At 38.7% G+C, this 25,631-nt stretch overlaps 2 protein-coding genes and 1 non-coding gene across 4 annotated transcripts in view, besides 1 other annotated feature; 2 read left to right on the top strand and 1 right to left on the bottom strand.

Moving 5' to 3' along the window:
- Positions 1-10,689, top strand: part of GPR149 (G protein-coupled receptor 149) — a 95,248-nt gene extending 84,559 nt beyond the window's left edge. Inside the window, exon 4 of the mRNA NM_001038705.3 lies at positions 7,361-10,689. Coding sequence (NP_001033794.1) covers positions 7,361-7,933 — 573 coding nt within the window. The 3' untranslated portion in view covers positions 7,934-10,689. The remainder of the gene's footprint in view (positions 1-7,360) is intronic.
- Positions 10,690-15,812: 5,123 nt separating this feature from the next.
- On the bottom strand, positions 15,813-15,916 carry LOC124906350 (small nucleolar RNA U13). Its single transcript, XR_007096317.1, has one exon. It is a non-coding gene; the product is annotated as a small nucleolar RNA U13 (small nucleolar RNA).
- Positions 20,958-21,252: an enhancer, noted in NCBI's record as "tiled region #7914; HepG2 Activating DNase unmatched - State 1:Tss, and K562 Activating DNase unmatched - State 1:Tss". NCBI's record gives its function as "activates a minimal TATA promoter and a strong SV40 promoter by Sharpr-MPRA in HepG2 and K562 cells {active_cell/tissue: HepG2 | K562}" and the evidence as "EXISTENCE:reporter gene assay evidence [ECO:0000049][PMID:27701403]".
- The window catches only part of DHX36 (DEAH-box helicase 36), a 51,942-nt gene continuing 47,455 nt past the window's right edge, over positions 21,145-25,631 (top strand). For both annotated transcript variants that reach the window (NM_001114397.2, NM_020865.3), the window contains exon 1: positions 21,145-21,458. In NM_001114397.2, the coding sequence (NP_001107869.1) occupies positions 21,216-21,458 (243 nt within the window). In that variant the 5' untranslated portion in view covers positions 21,145-21,215. The remainder of the gene's footprint in view (positions 21,459-25,631) is intronic.

Here is a 25,631-nt window from a genome sequence, read left to right as displayed (position 1 = left end):
AGGAGATTATGTGTGCTAGTGTGTTTACATGGCATGCTGTCTTCTCCTGGAGCATTTGTGTGGCTTAAAGACTGCTCTTTATTACCAAATAAAAAGCTCCTTGCCACCTACACTCAAGAATATAGCAATAATGGATTATCATTATTCCTGACAGCATATGCTAATTCATAGACTTTTAAATGAAAAGAAAGCAGAGATTACAAAAGGAATCGTTTTATGCTCTCTGAATGTATCATTCTTTGTCATTCAATAACTTTCACATAAAATTCAGTGCCATAATATTTTATTTTCATAAAAACAATCTATTCTAATATGACCTTCTGATGTACTTGTAACTATCATCATTTATTATATAAGGCTGTTTAAGTATAAATTTTAAACAGCAATGTTTTAAAAGATGATCCTATTTTTTGTGCGAAAAGTTAAAATATGAAATCTGAAAAGGACATAAGGTCAGTGTTGCCAATTTATGCACACTTTTGTTTGTCCATTCAACAAATATTTTTGAGGGCCTGTCATATGCCAGACACTGTTATAGGTAGCAGAGAAGAAAAAGATCAACAAGAGAATGTTCACTTCTTTTGAAGAGATTACATCACATGTGGATTTGACAGAAAGGGCCACATAGCCCCAGTGTCCAGAAAAAGATGGTCTGTTGCAGGACTTTTAAAAATAAGTTTTTTTCGAAATGTATTTTTGTACTGTTTGCATACAAAATTGAATTAGTTTCCCAAGGCTGCTGTAACAAACTATCACAAATTAAGATGGTTGAAAACAACAAAAATTTGTTGTCTCGCATTTCTAGAAACCAGAAGTCTGAAATATGGTGTTGGGAAGACCATGCTCCCTCTATAAGCTCTTGGGGAGGATCCTTTCTTGCCTCTCCCTAGCTTCTGGTGGCTCCCAGCAATCCTTGGTGTTCCTTGACTGGTGACAGCATAACTCCAATTGTTATCTGCATCTTCACATGACTGTCTTACCCCAGGTACATCTGCGTCCAAATTTCCCTCTTCTTAGAAGGATAAGAGTCATTGGATAAGGCCCATCTTCATTCGGTATGACCTCATACAACTTGCTTACACCTGCAAAAACCCTATTTCCAAATAAGGTCATATTCACAGTTTACAGGGGGACACGAATTTGGAGGGGGATGCTATTCAACTCATTACAAACATGAACATAAATTAAACCAATATTAACAGTTTTTGTATCATATTCTACTTCTTTCAATTAATGTTCATTTTCTGTTAAGATACTATTGCCTTTTACTTTTGAAGTCTCTTTTTGAAGTTGTCCTTAAACTTTTTGAATGATTTTCAAATCTGTTGGCTACACTGTGGTTTGTGACTCAAGTTGTATAGTATTTTCTTGTTTGTTGTTATTGTTTCCTGAGATGAGACTCTTTATTTGAACTTCACATTGACAGCTTGTTGGACTCAAATGTTTATAACAGTTTTCTAGTAAAATTCGTGAGGATAATCTGACTTATTACAGACAGTGGACTCTTTGAGAGTGCTATAAATATTTGTCTTACTAGAACCATAGGATTATTTAATCACTTTTCCTTTCAGATAATTTTAAAATATTTCTTTCCAGTCATGAGTGCCATTCTCTACATTTTTTCTTTTTCTTTCTTTTTTTTTGGGGGGGCGGTGGGGACAAGGTCTCACTGTCACCCGGGTTGGAATGCAGTGGCGTGATCATGGCTCACTGCAGCCTCTATCTCCCGGGCTCAAGTGATGCTCCCACCTCAGCCTCCGCAGTAGCTGGCACTACAGAAACACACACTACCATGCCCACCTAATTTAAAGAATTTTTTTAGAGACAGGGTCCCTCTATGTTGCTCAGGCTTGTCTCAAATTTCTGGGCTCACGTGATTCTACTTCTTCAGTCTCCCAAAGTGCTGACTGACAAAGGGATTACAGGGATGAACAGTCGCACCCAGCCTCTCCACCCTTTTCAAATGTGAATGGGAAATTAGCTATACCCCAGTTGAGACTCTCATTCTAGTCAACCAAACCATTAGGGCAAATTTTTGAAATAGTGCCCTCTACCCAACTTGTCTCCTGTCTCTTAACCTAAAAATAGAACAAACCCCAACACATACTCCAGATGATGAACGCTGAGGCTAACTACCAGCATCCAGCATCAGCAACACACACTCAGTACCCTACCCCTACCTCCTGGATGCCTTTCTAGTAATATTTTGTAATCTCTGCCTCCCTCACTACCTAATAAACTTCCTTGATCAAAAGAGTAATCATGATAATAAGAAAATAATTTAGAAATATAGAAATACCGAAAGTGAAATGCCAAGCCACTATTCACTCCCAGAGGAAGAAATTCTTGGTGTGTAGCCTCTCAAACCTTTTTCTATGACTGTCATATACAGGTATGCTTGTATGTCTGTGAATCTATTTTCATTCCTATACATGCTTAATTTTCTGGGCTGATTTCTCATGACTATTTTTAACAAGAAAACTAGATCATACTGTACACATTGTTTTGCAATTTGCTTGCTTTTATATCTTACAATATATGGAAATTATTTTACCCAGGCAGAACTTACAGCCTTACCTCATCTATTCAAGATAGCTTTTCAGAACATAACTGTATCACAATTTATTAAACTATTTTCTAAATGTAGATCTTTAGATTGTTTCTAATTTGGGGCTTACAAAAGTGCTGAAATAAACAAACATTATGATGTTCTGGTATTTGGAGGAACCGACTCACAGACATAGGATCAATGGTAAGTATACGTAGTTTTTATTTTATAGTCAAATACACAATCAAAATATACTCTAAAGATGGCATCAATCTTTTTATTTCTGCTGGGGTTTTTTTCTGTTTATGTTTTATGGAGGGCATTCTGAAAAGCTAAAATGACCATTGTTTTTACTTACTTTTAAAATTATTTGTAAGGCCAGGCATGGTGGCCATGGCTGTAATCCTAGCACTTTGGGAGGCTGAGGAGGGTGAATCACCTGAGGTCAGGAGTTCAAGACCAGCCTGGCCAACATGGCAAAACCCTGTCTCTACTAAAAACACAAAAATGAGCCAGTCCTGGTGGGGTACGCCTTTAATCCCAGCTACTTGAGAGGCTGAGGCACAAGAATCACTTGAACTTGGGAGGTGGAGGTTTCAGTGATCTGAGATCGCATGTACCACTGCACTCCAGCCTGGGTAACAGAGCAAGACTCTCTCAATAAAAAATAAAATAAAATAATTGGTCAAATTGCACATATTTTTATGTGTTTACTCTCCATTTTTCTTTAATTGTTTTGCCCACTTCCCTTTTCCATTTTTCTGCTAGATTGTTTATCTTACTGGTTGAGAAGAATTCTCCATAGCATCACTATTAAACTTTGTTTTATATAGACTACAAATATATCCTTCTGAGCTGCCTTTAGTCTTTCACTTTTGTTTATAGTATATATTTCTATACAGACATTTCAAAGTTTTTTGCAATCAAATCTGTCCATCTTTTACTTTGTGGTTTCCAGTTTTCATTCCAGATTTGGAAAGGTCTTATTCACTCAGCACTTTAAAAGAATTATTAAGAATTTTTTAAAATTTTTGCATGTAACATGAGATAGGTATCTAACTTAATTTTGTAATGGATAACTAATAATATGTAAGAAGTTTATTTGATTAACTCATTCTGTTTTTTGTTTGTTTGTTTTTAAAGTATAATTACCCTGCTTATTTTGAAATGCCATCTTCAGGGTATACTATATCTACTTTCTTGGCTGGCTGTCTTCCTTCATGGATTTACCAAATCTTGCAATGAACACCCTGTATTAATTGCTGTAGCTACATATTATACTTGGGAATCCACCTTGTTGTTTGTTTCCAAGTTTTCTTGGTTATCTGCAAGCATTTACCCCTGCAACTATATCTTAAGAGAAACTTTCAAAATAAAATTTCAGTGGAACTTTTATTAATATTGTATTAAATCAATAAATTAAAAGAAAACTGCCATAGTTGCGAAATAGTTTTCTCATGCAGAAACATTATTCTTTCTCTCTTACTTTTTCAAGACTTCTTTTATTATTGCTGTTTTTTCTTCATAAGGTCTCACATACTTCTATAGTATTGTTGCTATTTTGGATGGTACCTTTTAAAAATTATTTTTGATTGGCAATAGCTATTGATTTCTTAACATTTTTACCTAAAATTCAGCCACCTTACTAAACTCTCTAATTTTTTTAGATTACTTCTTTAGAATTTTCTAGGAAGATAATATTTTCATCTGTAAATTACAATAATGTCTCTTCCTACTCATTTTATATATATATATATATATATATATATATATATATATATATATATATATGTCTTATTTTTTTCTTGATTTTTTGCACAGCTAGGACCTCCAGAACAATGTTAGACAATAATATGGATATTATCTATAAAAACTGAGCCCTGCTCTGGGAAGGATTCTCAAGTCTTCTTTTTTCTCACCCCATCTAAGTTAGGCACCCCAGCCTGGGTCTATTGTTTCAGTCTTTGATAACAAAAATGTTTTCTCAGGATGGAAAGTTTTCAATATAACCCTTTAACTTGTGGTTTATCACTCAGAAAGCAAGGTTTTAAAATTGTAAATCTTGGCCGGGCACGATGGCTCACGCCTGTAATCCCAGCCCTTTGGGAGGCCGAGGCAGGGAGTTCATGAGGTCAGGAGTTCGAGACCAGCCTGGCCAACATAGTGAAACCCTGTCTCTACTAAAAATACAGAAACTAGCCAGGTGTGGTGGCACGCACCTGTAGTCTCAGCTACTCAGGAGGCTGAGGCAGGAGAATCACTTGAACCCAGGAGGTGGAGGTTGCAGTGAGCCGAGACGGCGCCATTGCGCTCCAGCCTGGGTAACAGAGCAAGACTCTGTCTCAAAAACAAACAAACAAAACTAAATCTTTTCTTGATTTTTAAGATCAATTTCACATGTCCCCCCTCCACAATATGACATCTCCCTACCCGAGATAGTCATTCCTTGGACCTTATAGAACTTGGTAACTATCTCTCAATTACTACATTTAGAACTAAAATTTTTATTTTGTTTATTTACATCCAATCATCTGTGGGGTCTTAAGAGATAGCATCTCCATACATCCAATGCAAGCTCAGAATCATGTACATCCTTACTTAGCAAATGTTTAATAAGTGGATGTATAATAATAGGAATGAAACCTACTTCTCTTTTGCCAAAAGTTGCCACCACTCAAATATTAATAGTAGTCTGATGCTGTGATGAACCTGTGTGGTCCCTCTGTCTCACTTATTTCAGCCAGCATTACACATGTAGAGTCAATGAAGTTCTTTGCCTTGGCAGACGGCTGGACTGAACATTATAGTGTAAATTTTCAAAATTTCCAAAACTTTATCGTGCAAGGCTCTACAGTTAGGTTCCTAGGTCTCCTTATGAGTAAAGAGAATTCAAGACCACTCCACAGAGAATAACCAGGAAAGAATGATCATATGTCTCACACAGCCCAGACTGTATTTTTTTCTAGTCTCTCAATTCAAGAAGTAGAGCGTGGGCCGGGCACGGTGGCTCATGCCTGTAATCCCAGCACATTGGGAGGCCGAGGCGGGAGGATCACAAGGTCAGGAGATCGAGACCATCCTGGCTAACACAGTGAAACCCCGTCTCTAATAAAAAAATACAAAAAAATTAGGCGGGGGTGGTGGTGGGTGCCTGTAGTCCCAGCTACTCGGGAGGCTGAGGCAGGAGAATGGCACGAACTCAGGAGGCAGAGCTTGCAGTGAACCGAGATCGAGCCACTGCATTCCAGCCTGGGCGACAGAGGGAGACTTCGTCTCAAAAAAAAAAAAAAAAAAAAAAAAAAAAGAAGTAGAGCATGAAGGCACCCCCAATGAAACTCATTCTTTTTCAAACTTCTTTAAACAGAAAATAATCTAAACTGTTCTCCAATAGTGAGAACCTGTCTTCGTCTAGCCACTGTTGGGTCCAGATTGAAAATGCCCATAGCAAGTAGGGTGATCAATCTCCCACTGCCCCGACTCCTGCCCATTTGTCTAACTAAGACTGAGGGATTTCCTGGGATGCAGAAATTTCAGTGCTAAATATGGGACAGTCCCAGGAAAATTGAGAAAGCTGGTCATCCTAAATTGGAAAAATACCATTATCTCCCATGCCAATTCCCCAGGTGGACAGACACATTTAGGCCAGTCCAGTTAGTAACTGTAGGTTTTACAAGTGGTAAGCACTTATATAAAAAGTGTCTGTTTATCTCCACCATTACCCCTTTTTTTCTGGACTACAACATTTCTTTAGTTAGAGCAATGGATCCCAAACTTTACTATGCAACAGAATCACCGGAAAGGCTTGTTAAAATACAGATTGCTTGACCCTGTACCTGGGTTGAGACCTAATTGAGTAGGTCTGGGATAATGCTAAAAACCTGTATTTCTGACAAGTTACCAGAAGCTGCTGACGATGCTGGGTTGGAAACTCAGTTTTGAGAATTACTGCTCTAGAAGTTTGGTACATTATCATCTTCTGGGACTAACACATAATCAAAAATCAAAACATGTCAGTTGAAAGTATGAAGACATGAATCAGCAATAAAAAGTACAGACTATTTTAAGAATCAATCTTATTTTCTTCATTTCTGAAGCACCTCTCAGTGGTAAGTACAGTTTTAAAAAAATCTTAATACATAAAGCATAATAGAAAATGTTTACCCTTTTAGGCAAGTTTTTGAAAGAGGTGGAATAGTATTCTTTATTATTGGGTTTACTTTAATGACTGATTTCTCTGTGGAAAAGTACGCTCTTTGTAGCATAGTTCTGGTGACATTCGGTTCCTGTTATGTATGCTCAACTCTAACAGTTGAAGTATCTTTTGTCCTTAAGCCACCGTTTCACAATTATCATTTACTTTGGCATACTAAACAGAAAAAAAAAGTTCATGTTGATAACACAGTCTACATTTCTTCCAACTTTTGCAAACGTTTTAATGTAACTGAGTATGTAACAAAAATATAAAAGTAATTTCAGATTGTAAATATGCATTCAATTTTATGTTCAAATTCTGCCTTTGAAAACATCTATTGCTTCCCATCAGTACACACCTTTGCCTTTAACTGGGGAAATATGCCCCTCATCTTCAAATAAAGGTTCCTAACTACCCTCATTAAATGTCTGATTTGGCCTAGGAGAAACTGAGGTATGGTGCTTTGGTGGCAGTATTTAAATCCCGTATCTGTAAAATGTTTCTAGGGAAATGGATCTGAAATAGAAAACCTTTATCATTCTGATGAACAAAATGAATTTCTAAATGTCTCAACCTCAGAACCTAGCTTTCAACAATAACAATTTTGTTTTTGTCCCCAGCGTTCCGGTTATGCCCTTGCCATTCCCTTGTGTGCATTCCAGGGGACTGTGTCTCTCCATGCACCTACAGGGAAAACCCTATCTCTTTCTACCTATGAGGTAAGCGCAGAAGGGCAAAAAATAACTCCAGCCTCTAAGAAAATAGAAGTCTATCGATCCAAAAGTGTTGGCCATGAACCAAACTCAGAAGATTCTTCATCCACGTTTGTGGACACCAGTGTGAAAATACACTTGGAGGTTCTTGAAATTTGTGATAATGAAGAGGCCTTGGACACTGTGTCAATCATTAGTAACATCAGTCAGTCCTCCACACAAGTCAGATCTCCATCCCTACGTTACTCCAGGAAAGAAAACAGATTTGTTTCATGTGACCTAGGGGAAACAGCCTCATACTCCCTCTTTTTGCCCACCAGTAATCCTGATGGTGATATTAATATCTCCATTCCAGACACAGTAGAAGCACACAGGCAGAACAGTAAAAGGCAGCATCAAGAGAGGGATGGCTACCAGGAGGAAATCCAGTTGTTAAATAAAGCTTACAGAAAAAGAGAGGAAGAAAGCAAGGGTAGTTAGTGGGTATTTGGTCTAACAGGAGCAAGAATGGATCTGCAACGTCAACTGTGAAACTAACACCTTTGTTATGAGACTGATTTCCTTTTATTTGTTGGCTTACATTAGTTTTACTGATTTAATAGTTAATTTTTTTGTGGGAACAACTGGAACTAGTGTAAACACTTAAGTGCATTTGATGTGTTACCTAAAGATCACACACTGTGGTAATGAAAAGATTTTACTTCTTATCTGACTTCTAAAAAATATTTTCTAAATCAAATCTTGGCCTAGTTTACCAATGTTTTTGCTTGTCAACTTCCTAGTAAACAGAAAATTGTATAAACTCAGTGAATATACTGTTCCATGCATATGTTTCTATATACAATGTTGGCCTTTACTGCAAAGGGGAAAAAAGAGGAATTCTGGGAATGGAAGAAATGTAACAAAACCCCAAATTATATTTGAAGGAACTTGCCTAAATGTGGCTAGCAAAACAAGCTTATTACACTTACTGCTTTAGCTTTACATTCTTCTGTAAAATGAAAAATTAGCTTCCAACTGAGAAACACGCAGGTTCCTAGTCTATAAATAGTTGTTTCCTTCATTTCTACCAAATATAAATTGTTTACTGTTTTTTCTTTTTTTCTTACCTATAACAGTTTTCCTTTCATCTTTTCAGTATGTCAAGACTGTCCCATAAAACAAATATATTGTGTGTTAGAGGTGGAATTAGAAGTATCTTTAACTCAAACATTATTGGAAAAAAGTTGTAATTGTGTAATTGTATACTTTATCCTAAAATTGTTTTTTTTTTTAACTTGAGTGGAAATTGGGAGAAAATACTGGCAGATTCAGTTATGAGAGGTACATCCAAACATGGTAGGCTTCTGGATACAGCAGAGCAAAATCCTCTAAGTCTAAAACAAAAGTATCTGTTTTTAAAGCTGAGGATTGGGCAACCTTTCTTAGTCATTCTTGAAATAGAAAAGTTTACTTCAAATATTATATCAAGTTTAGCTGCTTTTTTGTTTCTTCTCTAAAGACGTGTTGTCTCAAAGAAACAGTTGAACCTATTTTATTAAGTGATTGTAAGGTATACATTTCAAGATAATTCTAGAATGCATTACATTGCAAAAATGCAGGAATCACCTTGGCAGAATAATAGTAAGATGTATTTCAAAAATTATAAAGTGATTTTCCTTCAAATTGCTTTATTCTAACCTTCCTGTAAACATATATGAAATGTATTACCTAAAAGTTTATTTTCCAAAGTTACTGAGTTGACACTTTACATAGTCTTAGACTTTGTGCCCCTCACATCACTCACATACTTTATTTATTTATTTACAGATTGAATGAATTGTGTTTTAGAATGATTTATTTTGGTTTCTGTTTTATTAGGTTGAATTAGAATTCAAAATTACTTGACATCGGCTTTCAGAATGTTTCATCTTTTGTTGCCACAAGCATGAGTCATTTTCAAAATAATTATCTCAATGGACTTTCTCAATCTTTAACTTCTCAATATCTAGTTATCTAAATTTGGGAAACATATGTATTACCACTAATAATGTTTGTAAAGCAAGCCTCAAATAATGTGTAACATATAAATTCAAAGTCAAATGTATTCTCGTTACAAATATATTTTATTTTAAAAGACTGTATCACCAATATTAACAGCTATTTTAACACAGTGACAAATGGACAGATAAATCAGATATTATAAATCAGTAGCATTAAATGTCTTTATAAAAGAAAAATTGAATTGAATATTCTCATAATGCTTTGTAGAAGATAGGCTTTGATATCTTAAACTTAGATGTATAATTTTCTGAAAGAGAAAGGTGATATTGCTGCTTTAAAATGCAATTTCAGGCAAAAAGGAAATTAGACACAGGATCATAATAAAGCTGAAGAAAATAGCAAAGATTTGAAGGCAAACAAATTCTTTATAACTGCACAGCAATTTGAATGGGATGGAGATTATAACAGAAATCAAGGTTTAAAGAGCATTAAGAAATAGATAGAAGACAATAATACCCATTTTCCGTCTCATTTTATTTTAACTGGACAAGGGCTTAAACTGGGGGAATTGGAAAAATAATTAGGATATTCCCATTTAATTGCCCTTGGTTGTTGAATTAACTGTATAATGGATGCACATAAAAATTCTGCTGCATTGAAACAACACCAGTATTATTTAGCCCAAAGTCTTAGTTTGAAAGGCTAATCAGCACCATATTACTAACCTGTAACACTTCAAACTCCAAGCCAACAATAGCTGAATATACAAGAAAAATCTACTAGAGCTGTGCCTAAGCATGAATGACGCTCCAAATCCTTGTTAAGGGAGGAGAAGGTTAAACTACATAAGTTTACTTAAGTCTGCTTACTCTTTAGAGTGATTGATTATAAAAGTGTGTTTCTAGTAGAGGAAATACCTTTCTAGATATCTTGTGATATAGCCAAATACCTTACCCTTGTATAGTTATATTGTTCTTCTTATTAATAAATACTATATTTTGTATAGTTTTCTCTTTTCTCTATAAATTGATGTATCTGAAGGCAAAAACTTATTACCTAATAAAAATATCACCATCTGGTGGTGACTCCTATAAACTGCAAACACGTAATCCCCGAGACTCCCAAATAGTATAAACACCTAATATATAATCCCTAAGACTTCTGAGAGTTGTGACTGACAGAGGCAACTCTTTGAAGATAGCAAATGGCACAATATTACTTAAAAATATAATAAAAGAGTCTTAGTTATGCATTTTTTGGAAGCTTTTCTTGATGTGGTTCTATAATATTGGATTTTACAAATCGATTTTCTCTTAATTTCTTATACTTTTCAGCTACCTTCATTCATTTCTTCATTCTAATATTTAATAAATGACTACTACATACTAAAAATTGTTCTAGATACTTGGTTTTATAACTTTTGAACAAAACTCAAACAAAACAAATATATGTTTTTACATTTACTGTGAGTTTGAGACAACCACAAAGTCAGAGAACACAGTCCACAAAAGATTGCTCTCACTCCTGACACAAATCGCAAATTCAAGGAATTCCCAAAACCACTGCTAGTTTCAATAATTCACTAGAAGGACTCACAGAATTCATAGAAAACTGTGTACTCATGGTTATGGTTTATTACAGCAAAAGGATACAGAATAAAATCAGCCTAGAGAAGAGGTCATAGAGCCAAGTCCAGGAAAAGTTGTAAATGTGGAACTTCTATGGTACTCTCCCCATGGAGTCATGGACGGCATTACTTTCTTTGGCGACGATGTGTGACACCTTGCACAGACTACTGCCAAGCAGAAAATCTCAACTGAACCTTGGTGTCCAGAGTCCTTCCTGGGGCTGCATCATGGTAGGAGCAAGGGTAAGCATGGTTGACTACTCACATGACTGATATCTCTTTCTGGCTCTCCAGGAGGCCAAGTTGATACAGAATGCCCAAAACTCCCCTCTCAAAAACACATTGTTACTATCTGCTGGTCCAAGGCCCCCAGACAAACAAAGATACTATTTTCGGCTATGACATTCCAAGGGCTTAGAAATTACCTCCCCCAAAGCCAAGGACAAAGGCCAAACCTCTCTTTGGATAGGTTAAGTTCTTTACTATATATTTACATATATACATATGGTAGTGATAAGTGTGTGGTACATATATATGTATGCTGGTATTAAGTGTGTTGACAGAAAATAGGGACCAGAGGTAACAATGGCCAAAGAATAAAATTAGAATAAAGGGACAAAGATGGGAAGAGTGCTTTTTTCAATAATTTAGTCAGAAAAGCCTTCACTGATAAAGTAACATTTCATCAGAGTCTCAAATAAAGTGAGGAAACATGCTATGTGATTATCTAGGGAAATCATAGTCCCAGCAAAGGGAACAGCAAGTATCCAGAGGTAGGAGTGTGCCTTTTGTAATCTGTGAAACCATTAAGGAGGTCAATGTGAATGCAGCTGAGTGAGAGAGGTAGAGAGTGGTTGGAGATAAAGGCAAACAGATAATGGCAGGAGGAAACTGGCGTTGCAGACCAGGTATGAACATCTAGTCTTGTTCTAAATGAAGTGAAAAACCATTGGAGGGTTCTAAGCAAAAAAGTGACATGATCTCATTTCAAAAATGATTGTCTATTGCAAGGGTCAAAGACTGTACAGACACAAAGACCACCACAGAAAGAACAGTTAGGCTATTTTAATAGTCCAGGCTAGAGATGATGTTGGTTAAGTTTAGGGTGGTAGTAGTCGGGATGGCGTCATAATTGTATTCTGATTCAATAAGTGGAGAGGATTTCCTTGGTAACATGAAATAAATTACACATTTTTTAAAAGCCTATCTATGAAGTCTGTAGCTCAAGGGAAAAACAATTATCTCATTTATTTTCTGTCAATACTCTGCAATATCTCAATGTTTCTCAACTCCTTTATGTATCACAGAGGCTAGAAGACAGAAAACTTTATTTCCAAGACCCTCTTTTCAGCAAAGTTCAGGTTTCGCATCTAAAAATGAGAGGCATTTGTACAAGATTTGGAAGGCAGAGAGCAGCAGCAGTTAAATGAATGTTCCTTATCAGTAGGGCCTTTCTTCTTTAAGATATGGTTAAGGGGCCTAGGTTCATGTAGTTTTACATTTTTAATGTACGGTTCTTATGATCATTATGCTCATCTGCATCAGCTGACAGATGGGAAAAGGACATGAAGGATTCTGCACTGGAGTGCTTAGTGTGACTGGCTTGGAAGAACTGCACCTCAGTCATTGCAGCTTCTGCTATTGGATAGAACTCAATACAGAACCACAGCTGGTTCCAGAGAAGACTAGGAAATATATCTAGCTGTGTACAGGAAGAAGAACCCAAAATATGGTGAAGAGCTAGCTAGCCTGTCTCTGTTACATGCCCTGTAATCAACTAGACAAGCACATACTATACCATAACAGAATGTAAATAGCGCTCCCTGCCCATTTTTATAAGCTGCAGAGGCAGAGGCACTGCACACGGTAATTGAACAATGATACATTTTCCCAACTTTGAATTGTATGGTCTTAACCCTGAATCTGTGACGTCAACACTCTAGTTCAGACTATACTGCTCCAAATGTATGTTAGTTTATACAATCTCTTTCATAGTTTAATATACAAAGAAGATCATATCTACTAGTCTTTCCTACAGTCTTGAAGTCTTAATTTCAAATACATAGAGAATACACATACACAAACATTCATACACACGCATAGAAACATACATTCCTCTCAAGAATACACAGTCACTTTCCGGAATTGAGCAGTCAAAGATCCAAATACAAAAAAACTTTGAACACAATCTTTTGCAATGTCATATAGAGCAGTTTAGATATCCGGAGGCATGTCGTTTTTGCAACACTTTGTTACAGAGGAGGATCTTTGCTCTACCTTCACATATGCATAGTCTCACTGGGTAATTTTTCAAGAATAAGGGAAAAAACATGCCTCAGAGGTAAATTGTATTCTCTACCATTTAGTAGAAATACAACTTCCAAAAACTTTCTTTTTTCTTTTTTTCTTTTTTTTCTTTTTTTTCTTGAGACAGAGTCTCCTTCTGTCGCTCTGGCTAGAGTGCAGGGGTGCGATCTCGGCTCACTGCAGCCTCTGCCTCCCAGGTTCAAGCAATTCTCCTGCCTCAGCCTCCTGAGTAGCTGGGATTACAGGCACCTGCTACCACACCCAGCTAATTTTTGGTAGAGACGGGGTTTTACTACGTTGTCCAGGCTGATCTTGAACTCCTTACCTCAAGTGATCCACCTGCCTCGGCCTCCCAAAGTGCTGGTATTACAGGCATGAGCCACCGTGCCCAGCCCCAGAAACTTTCTAATGTCAGGGTCAAAAAATATTAGAGTTTAGACAAAGCCATGGTTGCCTAGTTAGAGTGGCAAAGTTACATTATCTACTTGCTAACTGAAAACTTTAGGCCTTACATTTTCATTATCGTTTTTAAATTTAAAAAGTTCTGTTCATTAAATAAAATTTCTTAGCACTCTTTCACAATATTTTTTCCTAAGATCTAAGATTGCATGCTTAAATTGGGTGAGGAAAATCCACCAATTTAATGAGATTCTGTAGTTTTAAAAGGAAAATGTTATGAAAATCTCTCAAGAGGGTCTTTAATGTGGATCTTGAAATCCTATGACCTCACGAAGTCACAATTTTTGTTTTCCTTTTTGTGGGAAACAGATGGAATTAGTAGGCAGACATGGCATTTGTTCAAACAAATATCTGATTCACCTAGGATAGTGCTATTTTAGAATTGTTTTCCTTCCATCCCACATGCTCTTCCTCTTCTTCCTTTTTTTTTTTTTTTTTCTGAGACAAGAGTCCTGCTCTGTTCTCCAGGCTGGAGTGCAGTGGCATGAATGCACTCACTGCAGCCTCGATCTCCTGGGCTCGAGCTATTCTCCCACCTCAGCCTCCCAAGTAGCTGGGACCACAAGCTTTCCACCACGATGCCTGGCTAATTTTTGATTTTTTGTAGAGCAGGGTCTCCCTATGTTGCCCAGGCTGGTCTCTAATTCCTGCATCCTGCTCTTCTAATGTGACTTTGGCTCTACTCCCACGGTGTGCTAAGGCCCTAGCCACCCTTAAACCTAAGTGGACATCTGTAACTGCCTCAACTAGTAAAACACAGTGGAAGTTATGCTATGTGACATTGGAGACTAGTTCATAAAGATGTCAAATGTCATGTACTTCCAACTTGCTTGGTGACATTTGCTCTTGAATCCAGCTGCGATGCTGTGAGGAGGCTCAAACTAGGCCACACAGAGAAACCAAATGGAGAGGCTATGTGTAGGCGTTCCAGCCCATAGCCAGACTTTATATTCTATAGAAGGGTAGGGTCACTTTTATCTTCATGTCCCTATCCCCACCTCCAAGTGAAAGTAGAAGTTAAAGATTTCATTTTCCAAGAACACTGAAGAAAATCTCCTTCACCCCCATGCCTTTGTGAATATTACACCTATGAATAAGTTATATAAGAGTTGTTTCCCAGGGTACAGATAAAAAAAAAAGATGAAGAAGAAAAGATTCCCTGAAACTGAGAAAATTGTGACAGTTTCCAGTGGTGGTGTGGCTCTGTGTGGCTCACCTTTGCTGCATTCCAGATGCAATGGCAGGTGTGATAGGGAGAACAGAAGCTGGACACCAAATGCTGTGGGTTTGAAAGCAGTGGCTATGCATTCTGTGGCCCAGGCCACCATTAATGAAGAGGACATTTGAGAGAGACATCTTTGTTGCCTGCCCAAAGAACAGCACACAACAGAGGACCAGTAAGAGAAACAATGGCAATTATAATGAACCATTCTGTTTGTTTTCTGGCATTAGGTAATGTAAAAATTTTCGCAGTTCTGATCAAGGCAGGGAAAAAAGAAAAAGCAGGTAACAACTGACATTTTCCTTCCCATCAATATCTTTCAGGTCTTTCGTTGAAAATCTTCCTTTTGTGCAGATTTTTACTACAGTGACATTTGTACTAAAGTGTTTGCCTAAAGGAATAGGCTCAAGCAATACCTTAAATACTTCATGCTGAAGAAGTATGGAAAACATAGTAATTTTACATTTATAACTAAGAATCTACTTAGGATCAGCAAACATGAGGCGAAGGGCAGTAAAACAATTTATCAGAAAATAGAGATAACACTAACTTTCTCTGGGGCTGTCATGAGGATTGTGTGAAATGAGATAAGGAATTGTATTACTTTTCTAGTGTAGCCATAAGAAATTACTACAGTCTTAACTAACACAAATTTACTATCTTACAGTTCTGTAGCATAATGTTTTGACAAGAGTCTTCACTGGGCTAAAATCAAGGGGTCAATATGGTTGTATTTCTTTTTATTTATTTATTTTTCTTCCTGTTAGATGAGCAATGTGCCGATGTCATAACAAGGTTCGAGGGTGGCACATCTCACACATGTGCACGAATACCCAATCATCATGCTCATGAACTGCAAAAGGATCAGTATGGTTGTATTTCTTTCTGGAAGCCCTGGGGGAGAATCTATTTTCTTTCCAGTTTCTAGAGGCTGCCTGAATTCTTTTGCTTGTGACCCCTTCCTCCATCTTCAAGGCCAGCAACAGCTAGTCAAATCCTTATGTCACATCACTATGACCTTCTGTTCTACCACCCTCTTTCACTTTTAAGGACCCTTATGATTACATAGGGCTCACCCAGATAATTCAGGATATCTTCCTGTTTTAAAGTCAGCTGCATTCATCAGGTTTCCCAGAGAAACAAAACTAATAGGACAGATATAGATACACAGAAACTGAGCTATATCATGAGAGATTGGATCACATGATTATGGAGACTGAGAAGTCCCACAATATACTTTCTATAAGCTGGAGACCTAGGAAAGCTGGTGGTGTAGTTCTAATCCAAGCCTAAAGGCTTGAGAACCAACAGTGCTGATGTCCAAGAACAGGAGATGGATGTCATAGCTCAAGAGGAGAGAGTAAATTAGCCTTCCACCTTTTCATTCTACTTGGGCCCTTAATGGATTGGATGAAGCACACTTACATTGATGAAGACGATCTTCTTTAGTCAGTCTATGAATTCAAATGCTAATCCCTTCCAGAAACACCCTCACAGACCTACCTAGAAATAATGTTTTACTGGCTCTCTGAGCATCCCTTAGCCTAATTAAGTTGACATATAAAATTAATTATCACATCGGCTGATTAGCAACCTTACTTTGCCCTGGCCATGTAATATATTCACAGTTTCCAGGGAGTTTCCATGAACATCTCAGCCAGGCACAGTTGCTCACACCTGTAATCTCAGCACTTTGGGAGGTTGAGGTGGGAGGATCACTTGATCCCAGAAGTTCAAGACCAGCCTGGGCAACATAGCAATACCTCATCTCTACAGATAATAATAATAAAAAAAATAGCCAGGCATGGTGGTGTACACCTGCAGTCCTAGCTACTTGGAAAGCTGAGGTGAGAGGATTGCTTGAGTCTGGGAGGTCGAGGCTGTAATGAGCCATGGTCATGCAACTGCACTCCATCCTGTGCAACAGAGTGAGAGCCCACCTCAAAAAAAAAAAAAAAAAAAAAAGACAAGGACATCTTTGGGGCCATTATTCTGCCACAAATGCCTGCCACTTAGTCTAATACCTAGCAAATGCTAAGTGACAAATAAACACTAATTCTCTTCCCCTCTGACTCTCCATATTAGTCTGTTTGTGTTGTCATAACAAAACGCCACAGCCTGGGCAGCTAAAACAACAGAAATGTGTTTCTTAAAGTCTGGAAACTAGGAAGTCCAAGATCAAGGTGCCAGCTAATCCAGTTCCTAATGAGAGCTGTCAGCGAAGAGTCAAACTCTAAAACATTTGAAGAGATTTATTCTGTGCCAGATGCTAATGTCCATGGCCCATGACACAGTCCCAGGAGATACTGAGAACATGTATCCAAGGTGGTCAGGGTACAGCTTTGTTCTATATATTTTAGGGAGACATAAAACATCAATCAATACATGTAAGATGCACATTGATTCCATCTGGAAAGGTGGGACAACTCAAAGGAGGAGGGAGTTTTCCAGGTCACAGGTGAATTCAAAGATTTCCTGATTGATTGAAAGAGTTTATCTAAACACCTGGAAACAACAGAAGGGACTGTCTGGGTTAAGATAAGGAGTTGTGAAGACCAAGGTTCTTATTATGCTGATAAGACCTCCAAGGTTGCAGGCTTCAGAAAGAATAGATTGTAAATATTTCTTATTCAACTTAAAAAGGTTCCAGACTCTTAGTTAATCCTCTTCTGGATCATGGAGAAGAAATGGAAAGGGGGAAGGAGGTTCTCTACAGAATGTAGATTTTCCCCATGAGAGACAGCTTTGAAGGGCCATTTCAAAATATGTCAAATAAATATATTTTGGGGTAAAATGCTTTCTTTCAGGGCCTACTACTATGTTGACATCATATTGCTACAAAGAGTCTGTTCTGTCAGTCTTAAGGTCTCTGCTTCAATGTTAATACTGGTCAGCTGTACCTGATTCCAAAGGAAGGAAGGTATAATGAGGCATGTCCAACCTCCCATTCCCATCATGGCCTGACCAAGTCAGGTTTACTTTAGGATGCTTTTGGCTTAGAGGACGGGTCCATTCAGTTGGTTGGGAGGGCTTCCAATTTTATTTTGGGGCAATGTGCGGTGGCTCACACATGTAATCCCAGCACTTTGGGAGGCCGAGGCAGGAGGATTGCTTACACCCAGGAGTTCAAGGCCAGACCAGCCAAAATAGGAAGACCCCATCTCTACCAATCTTTTTTTTTAATTAGCTGGGTGCGGCAGTACGCGTCTATGGTCCCAGCTACTTTAGGGGGCTAAGGTGGGAGGATCACTTGAACCAGGGATGTTGGGGCTGCAGTGAGCCATGACTGTGCCACTGCACTCCATCCTGGGTAACAGAGTGAGACTCCATCTCAAAAAAAAAAAATGTATTTTTGGTTTACAGAGCTATTCCTGGAGCATGGATGGCTGCTGTTTTGTCCTCACATGGCCTTTCGTCTGAGAGGGAGGAACAAGCTCTCTGATGTCTCTTTTTAAAGGGCACTAAACCTATTATCAGGATCTCACCTTTATGACCTCATTTTGCTTTAATTACATTTTTTAGAGGCCTCTTCTACAGCCATATTGGGAGTTAGGGCTTCATCATGAATTTTGCATGAACACAAAGATTTAGCCCATAACACTCTCACCATTTTCTTCCCACTTTGCCCCTATCATCTTCAGTATGCCTACTCAATCTCATCTCTTAGACAGTTGACATATTTTTCACATCAGGAGTGCCCAATTGGGATGCTTTTATAGAAACTATTCATTCCTACGGCCTTAATCACATGTGCCAAGGACTCCCAAAACATATAATTTCAGTCTACTCTCTTTGTACTTTTAACGTTTCAACTTTTCTTTTTTCTTTTTTTTTTTTGATGGAGTCTAGCTCTGTTGCCCAGGCTGGAGTGCAATGGGACAATCTTGGCTCACTGCAACCTCCATCTCCTGGGTTCAAGTGATTCTCCTGCCTCAGCCTCCTGAGTAGCTGGGATTACAGGCATGCACCACCATGCACAGCTAATTTTTGTATTTTTAGTAGAGACGGTTTCACCATGTTGGCCAGGCTGGTCTCAAACTCCTGGCCTCAAGTTATCTGCCCACCTTGGCCTCCCAAAGTACTGGGATCACAGGTGTGAGCCACCACACCTGGCCTCTGTGCTTTTAACTCTTACAGCCTGCTTTCTAGATACTCCATTTGTATGTTTCATAAGTTCCTCAAAGTCCACATGTAAAAATAAAACACATTAACTTGCCCTGCCCCTCACCCCCAAAATGTTCCTTGTCCTGTGTTTCTCATCTCAGGATACAATGTGCCTCCCCATGGGTTAATAATTCAAATCTTAAACTTGGAGTCGTTTAACCCTTCCAATTCTCCACATTCAATGAATCATCAAATTTAAGTAATTTTATCTTCTAATGTCTCCTGATTCCAATTCTTTCCACATGTAATGCCCTGTCATCCCATTTTGCCTCCCCTACATCACATTAACTAGTTTCCCTGTATCCACTCTTGTCTCCGCTATTTATTTCCAATTGAAGCAGTCAAAATAACCACTGCTCTGCATAAACATATCACTGTTCTTTAAGTGGCACATAAGTTTTCCATAATCAGACCCCTATCTACCTCTTTGGCCTTCCCCATCAGGCTTTAAGATTCAGGGTAGTTGTTTTAAGTTCTCCGATGTCTCACATCATTATCTGTCTTTACACATTGTTCCTTTCACCTGCCATACTTTTCTTCTGCCCATTAGTCTGGCAAAAGTCTACTTATCTCAAAAGTTGTTGCATAACTCACCTAACTCCAAAATTAAATTCTTTTGCTGTAGTATCTCTTGGCTCTTAGGGAGGAAATACTTTTTGTCTACTTTCTTAGATTCAGTGTTTGCAGGCCCCAGACTTAAAGTGACAAAACAGATTAGCAAAAGAAAAGACAGACTTAACCACATACATAATAGAGTTCACAGAAAAAGGTGATTCAGGGAGGTAGAGTTCTGACTTATCTACCATCTTATAAAGGGAAGGAAAGGGGAAAACAGCACGTATGGAAAAAACAAATGACTTTTAGTAAAAATAAATGACACCTTAAAACAGATGCCAGATATGATAGCTTTGTGACAATGTCTATTCAAGTGTGTTGCCAGCTTCTAACCTCCAGTGATAAGAGTCAGTCTTCCTGGGTTTCCCTCCCAGGGAGGAGCTTGATTTGAATTCCTCCGTGTGGTTCTGCATTTAGACAGGTAGATTTCAGAAACTCAAATGTCTTTGCTCAAAATAATTTTTAGGCCACAATGGTGTATTGTAGACCCCTTCCTGGCATACAGCATTTCCCTTTCTTAATTCACTGCACAAAGATAGCCTTTGTCTTTCCCTTAAGACTGTAGGCAAATAAAAGCTCATGCCATACTTGCTTTGTTCAGTGAGTATTCCCAGCACCTTTACATCAGTTAACTGTAACATGAGCTGGATATCTCCTGGTGTACATCCAAGCCTGTGTGGCCCAATTACTTGATTATTCAAGAACAGCTTGTACAAAACACTCAGTGTGCTGGTTAATAAACAGTATGTGGCTTCATATGAACACATGAATCTTCAAAGTAGTTTATTTACATTGCCTAAGAGCTCTGCACCGAATTTGGGTAGACACGCTCATCTTAACACTATTGGATAAACGTACTAAATAGTGACAACACTTTCAAGGAGGTAAGGGGATTTTAAATTACATATTTGAATAGTTGTCAGGCTGTTTTCAAGACTAGAAGAACTCATTTTTTAGAGACTTTTCTTTAGAAGACGGCGAATTGATCCAAGGGTTCTTTTGTTTCAATCAACGTTTACTACCCTAGGACCTAAGTGCAAAAAAACTGCGGATTTACCAGGAATAAGAAAGTAAAAACCAAAAGCTATTGGCTCACTTGCTGGGCCTAGGGAAAGAAAATCTACGAGCCTTTGGCTGGCTGTTGCTCCAGAGGTACAAAGATAAACAACTCGGGGGCTCAGACAGAACCTGATCCCTGCCACCCTCCAGACCACCGGGGTCGTCCTCCCGTGACGTCACCAGAAACCACTGCTTGTGACGCTAAATGGCCCGCCCTCTTGTGCGGTGCTACGGAAGCAAAACGGAAGTGGGCGCACAGTGGCTTCCGGGCCCGGACGCCATTTCCAGCGGTTGCTGGTTCTGACGGGTTGTAGTCTGCCAGGACAATGAGTTATGACTACCATCAGAACTGGGGCCGTGATGGGGGTCCCCGCAGCTCCGGTGGGGGCTATGGAGGGGGGCCAGCAGGGGGTCATGGAGGTAACCGAGGCTCCGGAGGAGGCGGCGGCGGCGGAGGGGGTGGTCGAGGCGGCAGGGGCCGGCATCCCGGGCACCTGAAAGGCCGCGAAATCGGCATGTGGTACGCGAAAAAACAGGGGCAGAAGAACAAGGAAGCGGAGAGGCAAGAGGTAATCTCGGATTCAGTAGTGGAGAGGATGAGGCAGCACAGGTTTTCTTCTCTCTCCCGCTGCCCCCTTTTTCTTGGTTTTGTTTCTTAAGTGATGCACGTGTTTTGTGAAATGTAAATGAGGCGCAAATATATTATGCTGGCGCTCCCCGTAGCGGGTGTACTGCGTAACATTAGCCATGCTCATCTGACCAAAAACAGGCAGGATTTATGCAGGCTGAATATATACTTTGCTTAAAGGACTTGAGAACTGTGACAAAGCAAATGTTAAGTTCACGTTCCAACCGAAATTAACTTTATTAGGAGTGTCGTTGTCGTATCTCTGGCCGTCCTTTCCCTTAGAATAATAATTGTCACTTTAAGGTCTTTGCCTGGTGAAGAAGCACATAGCGACCTTTCTACATTTGAGATAGGTTTGCGCGGAACAAAAGCAGGCAGACACTGTTTTGGATGTGGATCATTCAGAAAAATAGTCCAGCTTTTATTATTAGTGTTAAAATTATCTGCAAACCTAGGTTTTTGTTTTTTATGTTGGGGTGGAGAAATTTCTATTGATGAGCAGATTCTCTTTGAAAAGGAAAATGAAAGGAATCTCCAGAGATGATTTGGCTTACTCTCCTCTCTTCAGGTGATTGTCAGGTTGATTTGTGTCTTAAAGATCTGTAGTAAGGGAAACAAAGTTCTCCGAGTGACTAGTAAATAAAATTCTAATAAAAAATAATTTTTATCATTAAGCAGGAACTTTCTTAGTATAGGCCTTTGGTGACTTTTTAAAAGCACCTTATAAAATGTATTATAGAGTGTAATTAGATCATCATTTAGGCAACTTTTTTTTTTTTTAAGACAGGGTCTCACTCTGTCGCCCAGGCTGGAGTGCAGTGGCACGATCTTAGCTCACTGCAACCTCCGCCTCCCAAGTTCAAGCGATTCTCCTGCTTCAGCCTCCCGAGTAGCTGGGATTACAGGCGTCCGCCACCACCTCCGGCTAATTTTTGTATTTTTAGTAGAGACGGGGTTTCACCATGTTGGCCAGGTTGGTCTCGAACTCCTGACCTCAGGTGATCCACCCAACTCGGCCTCCCAAAGTGCTGGGATTACAGGCGTGAGCCACCACGCCAGGCCTAGACTACTATTTTTAAACCGTTCCATTTCTTTTTATTTCTTTTAACCATGTCATGTTCATTCAGGTGTTTTGGGGGCCTTATCCATTTATCTTCATAATTTAAACTTTTCTTTAAAAAACAAATCCATTTCTTTTACAGCCCCAAATTAACTTTTTCGTTGGGCATACTGGCTTGAAAATCAGGATACGGACGTCTAAGTAACTTTACAACTTTTATTTATTAAGGCTCTGTTTGAAACAAGGTTTTATGCATATTGCTCCAGGGACTTGAAGAAATGTGGTATTCAAAGAGCTTACAGTCTAGCTGAGAAAATAATACCTAAACAGATGAAAAGTTAAATAAGTCAGGAAAAAATGTTCATTATTGTTTCCACATGAAGGGTATAGCCAGTTGTGCAGTGGATGTTATGAATGGAACTTTTCATTTCTACTTGCGTTCCCATCCTCCTTTTAGTGGTGACACGACCATTTATTCACTTGGCAAGGCCAAATGAGATTTATCTTTGCTTCTTCCCCTTCATTTCAGCAAATCTCTGCCTTGTTAATATATCCCAATCTAACCACTTACCTCCAGAATAGTTACCATAGATCAAGCCACTGTTTGTTTTCTGTTCTTGCCTTCTAACTAGTCATCTAGCTTCCATTCTTGCTCTGCATTGTCTGTGCTTTACAGAGCCGCCTATGGTGATCTTTTAAAAGGAAAAATTAGATCATTTTATTACCTAATTCACAACTTCAGATTGGAAGTCATGTCACTTCTGTCTCAGTCTGATATATTTCAGTTGCATCTTGACATGTTCTCTGGAAATCTTGGTAATACGGCTTCAACGTAACAGGTTTACCGCTGTGCACATTTCTCTGAGCCCATGTCTCCAGTCTGATATAATTATAGTTTTTTTAGGCATACTTTATTTTTACTTTTCATTACAGTGTCATACTGTTCTCCTGTCCAAAATGTACCTTTCTTTCTTGTTTAAATAGGAGTATTTTTCAATGGGCTCGTCCCAGCTCTTCTTTGACCACCTTTAGCTTGATATCATTGTTTCCCAGTCAGAATTTCGGTAGCTTTCACTTTTAAAGTCATGTCATGTGTTTTCAAAATGAAGACTTTTTTTTTTTTTTTTTGAGTTGGAGTCTCACTCTGTTGCCCAGTCTGGAGTGCAGTGGTGTGATCTCGGCTCACTGCACCCTCTGCTTCCTGAGTAGCTGAGATTACGGGTGTGCACCACCACACTTGGCTAATTTTTGTATTTTTAGAAGAGACAGGGTTTTGCCATGTTGGCCAGGCTGGTCTTGAGCTCCTGACCTCAGGTGATCCACCAGCCCTGGCCTCCCAAAGTGCTGGGATTACAGGCGTGAGCCATGGCGCCTGGCTGAAAATGAATGCATTCTAATGATGCATTCTTGAACAAATGTTCTTTCAACAAATATTTATTGAGGACATTATTTTTGTGACAGTATCTTAAGCACTGTATTAATTAATAAAATAGATATAGGCTCTACAGAGATTGTGGTGTGTTTGGAGCGATAAATAGAATACAGTATTAAGGTATTAGAGAATATGGGCTATCACCTAACTCAGGGCAAGGTATTTTAGAAGATTTTTCAGGGACAGTAACCCTTAAGTTGAAACTTGAAAGATAACAAAGTGAATGTACGTGTGTGTGTTTGAAGTTTGGGGTTTGGAAAAGATTCCAGGCAAAGGCAGTAGCATGTGCCATAACATAGAGATCAAGGAAGCACATTTTCAGTTCGAGAAACTGTAAAAGATAAGAACATGGATGTGGAGTGTATTGAGATGAGGTTAGGGCAGTCAATTTCAAACTTGTTGGCCACTTTGCCCAAAAAGGAATGTATTTGAATTTACAACCCAGTACACACATATGTATAACTAGATGAAAAGTTTTGTAAAATAATATTTAATTATCTGCACATTGCTTTGAGGTTTTTTTGCTTTTGAACTTCTCTGTTCTCTTTTTATTAATGCTGGTCATGATCCTTTAATATAATTTCAGAAACAGCAATTTGAAAATCTCTGGGCTAGAAAAATACGCGGGGCCTTGAGATACATTGAGTCTTTCTAAGGACTGTAGCAAGTCATTAAAACATTTTAAACAAAGAATGAAATGACTGGATTTTAAATGTTTAAATTCACTCTGGTAGCAGTATAAGGAATGGATTGAAGAGAGGTAATCCTGGTTCAGGGGGACCAGTGAAGTAGCCCTTGCAGTAACTAAGGTGAGAAATGACAGCTTGAATTAGCACGTTGGCAGTGGAGATGGAGGGGAGTGGACAGATTAAAGTGATTTAGGAGGTAGACTCAAAATGATTTTGTGATGTATTTTATCTGAAGGGACGAGTACAGTGTTAATGATGACTCTTTTATGCCTATCTGTAAGGATCAGGCTTGTTGGAAGAAGGCTCAGCTATGGACACTATGAGTTTGATATTGTTATAGGGCATACAAATGAGGATTTGCAGGAGGGAGAGGGCTGTGTAGATCTGATGCCTAGAAAAATCTAGACTGGAGATAAGTATTTGACAGTTAATGGGCTCATGGGTAGTAGTTGGAGTGTGGGAGTGAACAGTCAGAAATAGAGTGGGCCCAGCCTGAATTCTATAGACCATTGCTTCTCAGACTTGAATGTGCATAGGAATCACCTGACATCTTGTTAAAATGTAGGACACTGGTGGGATCAGAGATTCGACTTTTGTTACAGGCTCCCAGGTGATGCCAGTGTTGCTGGTCTGTAGATCACTCAGGCTGTCAAATACGGAAAATGAAAATTTAAGGACAGGCTGAGGAAAAGAAGGTTACAAAATAATCTAGGAAAGATCAGCTAGAGAAGAGAAAAATAAGGTGTGTGTTGTTTTGAAATCTAAGAGTAGTGTTTAAAGGAGAGAAGAGCGTATCAACAAGAAGTAATTGATAGTGGCAAGCATGCACAAATGATGTAAGAGCAGAGAATGTCTATTGGATTTATCAACAAGGTCGTTGATGATCTTAATGGGAGTCCTTTCTGTGGCATTGTGGAAGTAAAAGCCAGATTG

This window comes from Homo sapiens, chromosome 3 (genome assembly GCF_000001405.40).
Source record: "Homo sapiens chromosome 3, GRCh38.p14 Primary Assembly".
In the NCBI taxonomy this organism is placed as follows: domain Eukaryota; kingdom Metazoa; phylum Chordata; class Mammalia; order Primates; family Hominidae; genus Homo; species Homo sapiens.
Note: the sequence above shows the minus strand (reverse complement) of the source record. Positions and strands in the feature narration are given on the sequence as shown.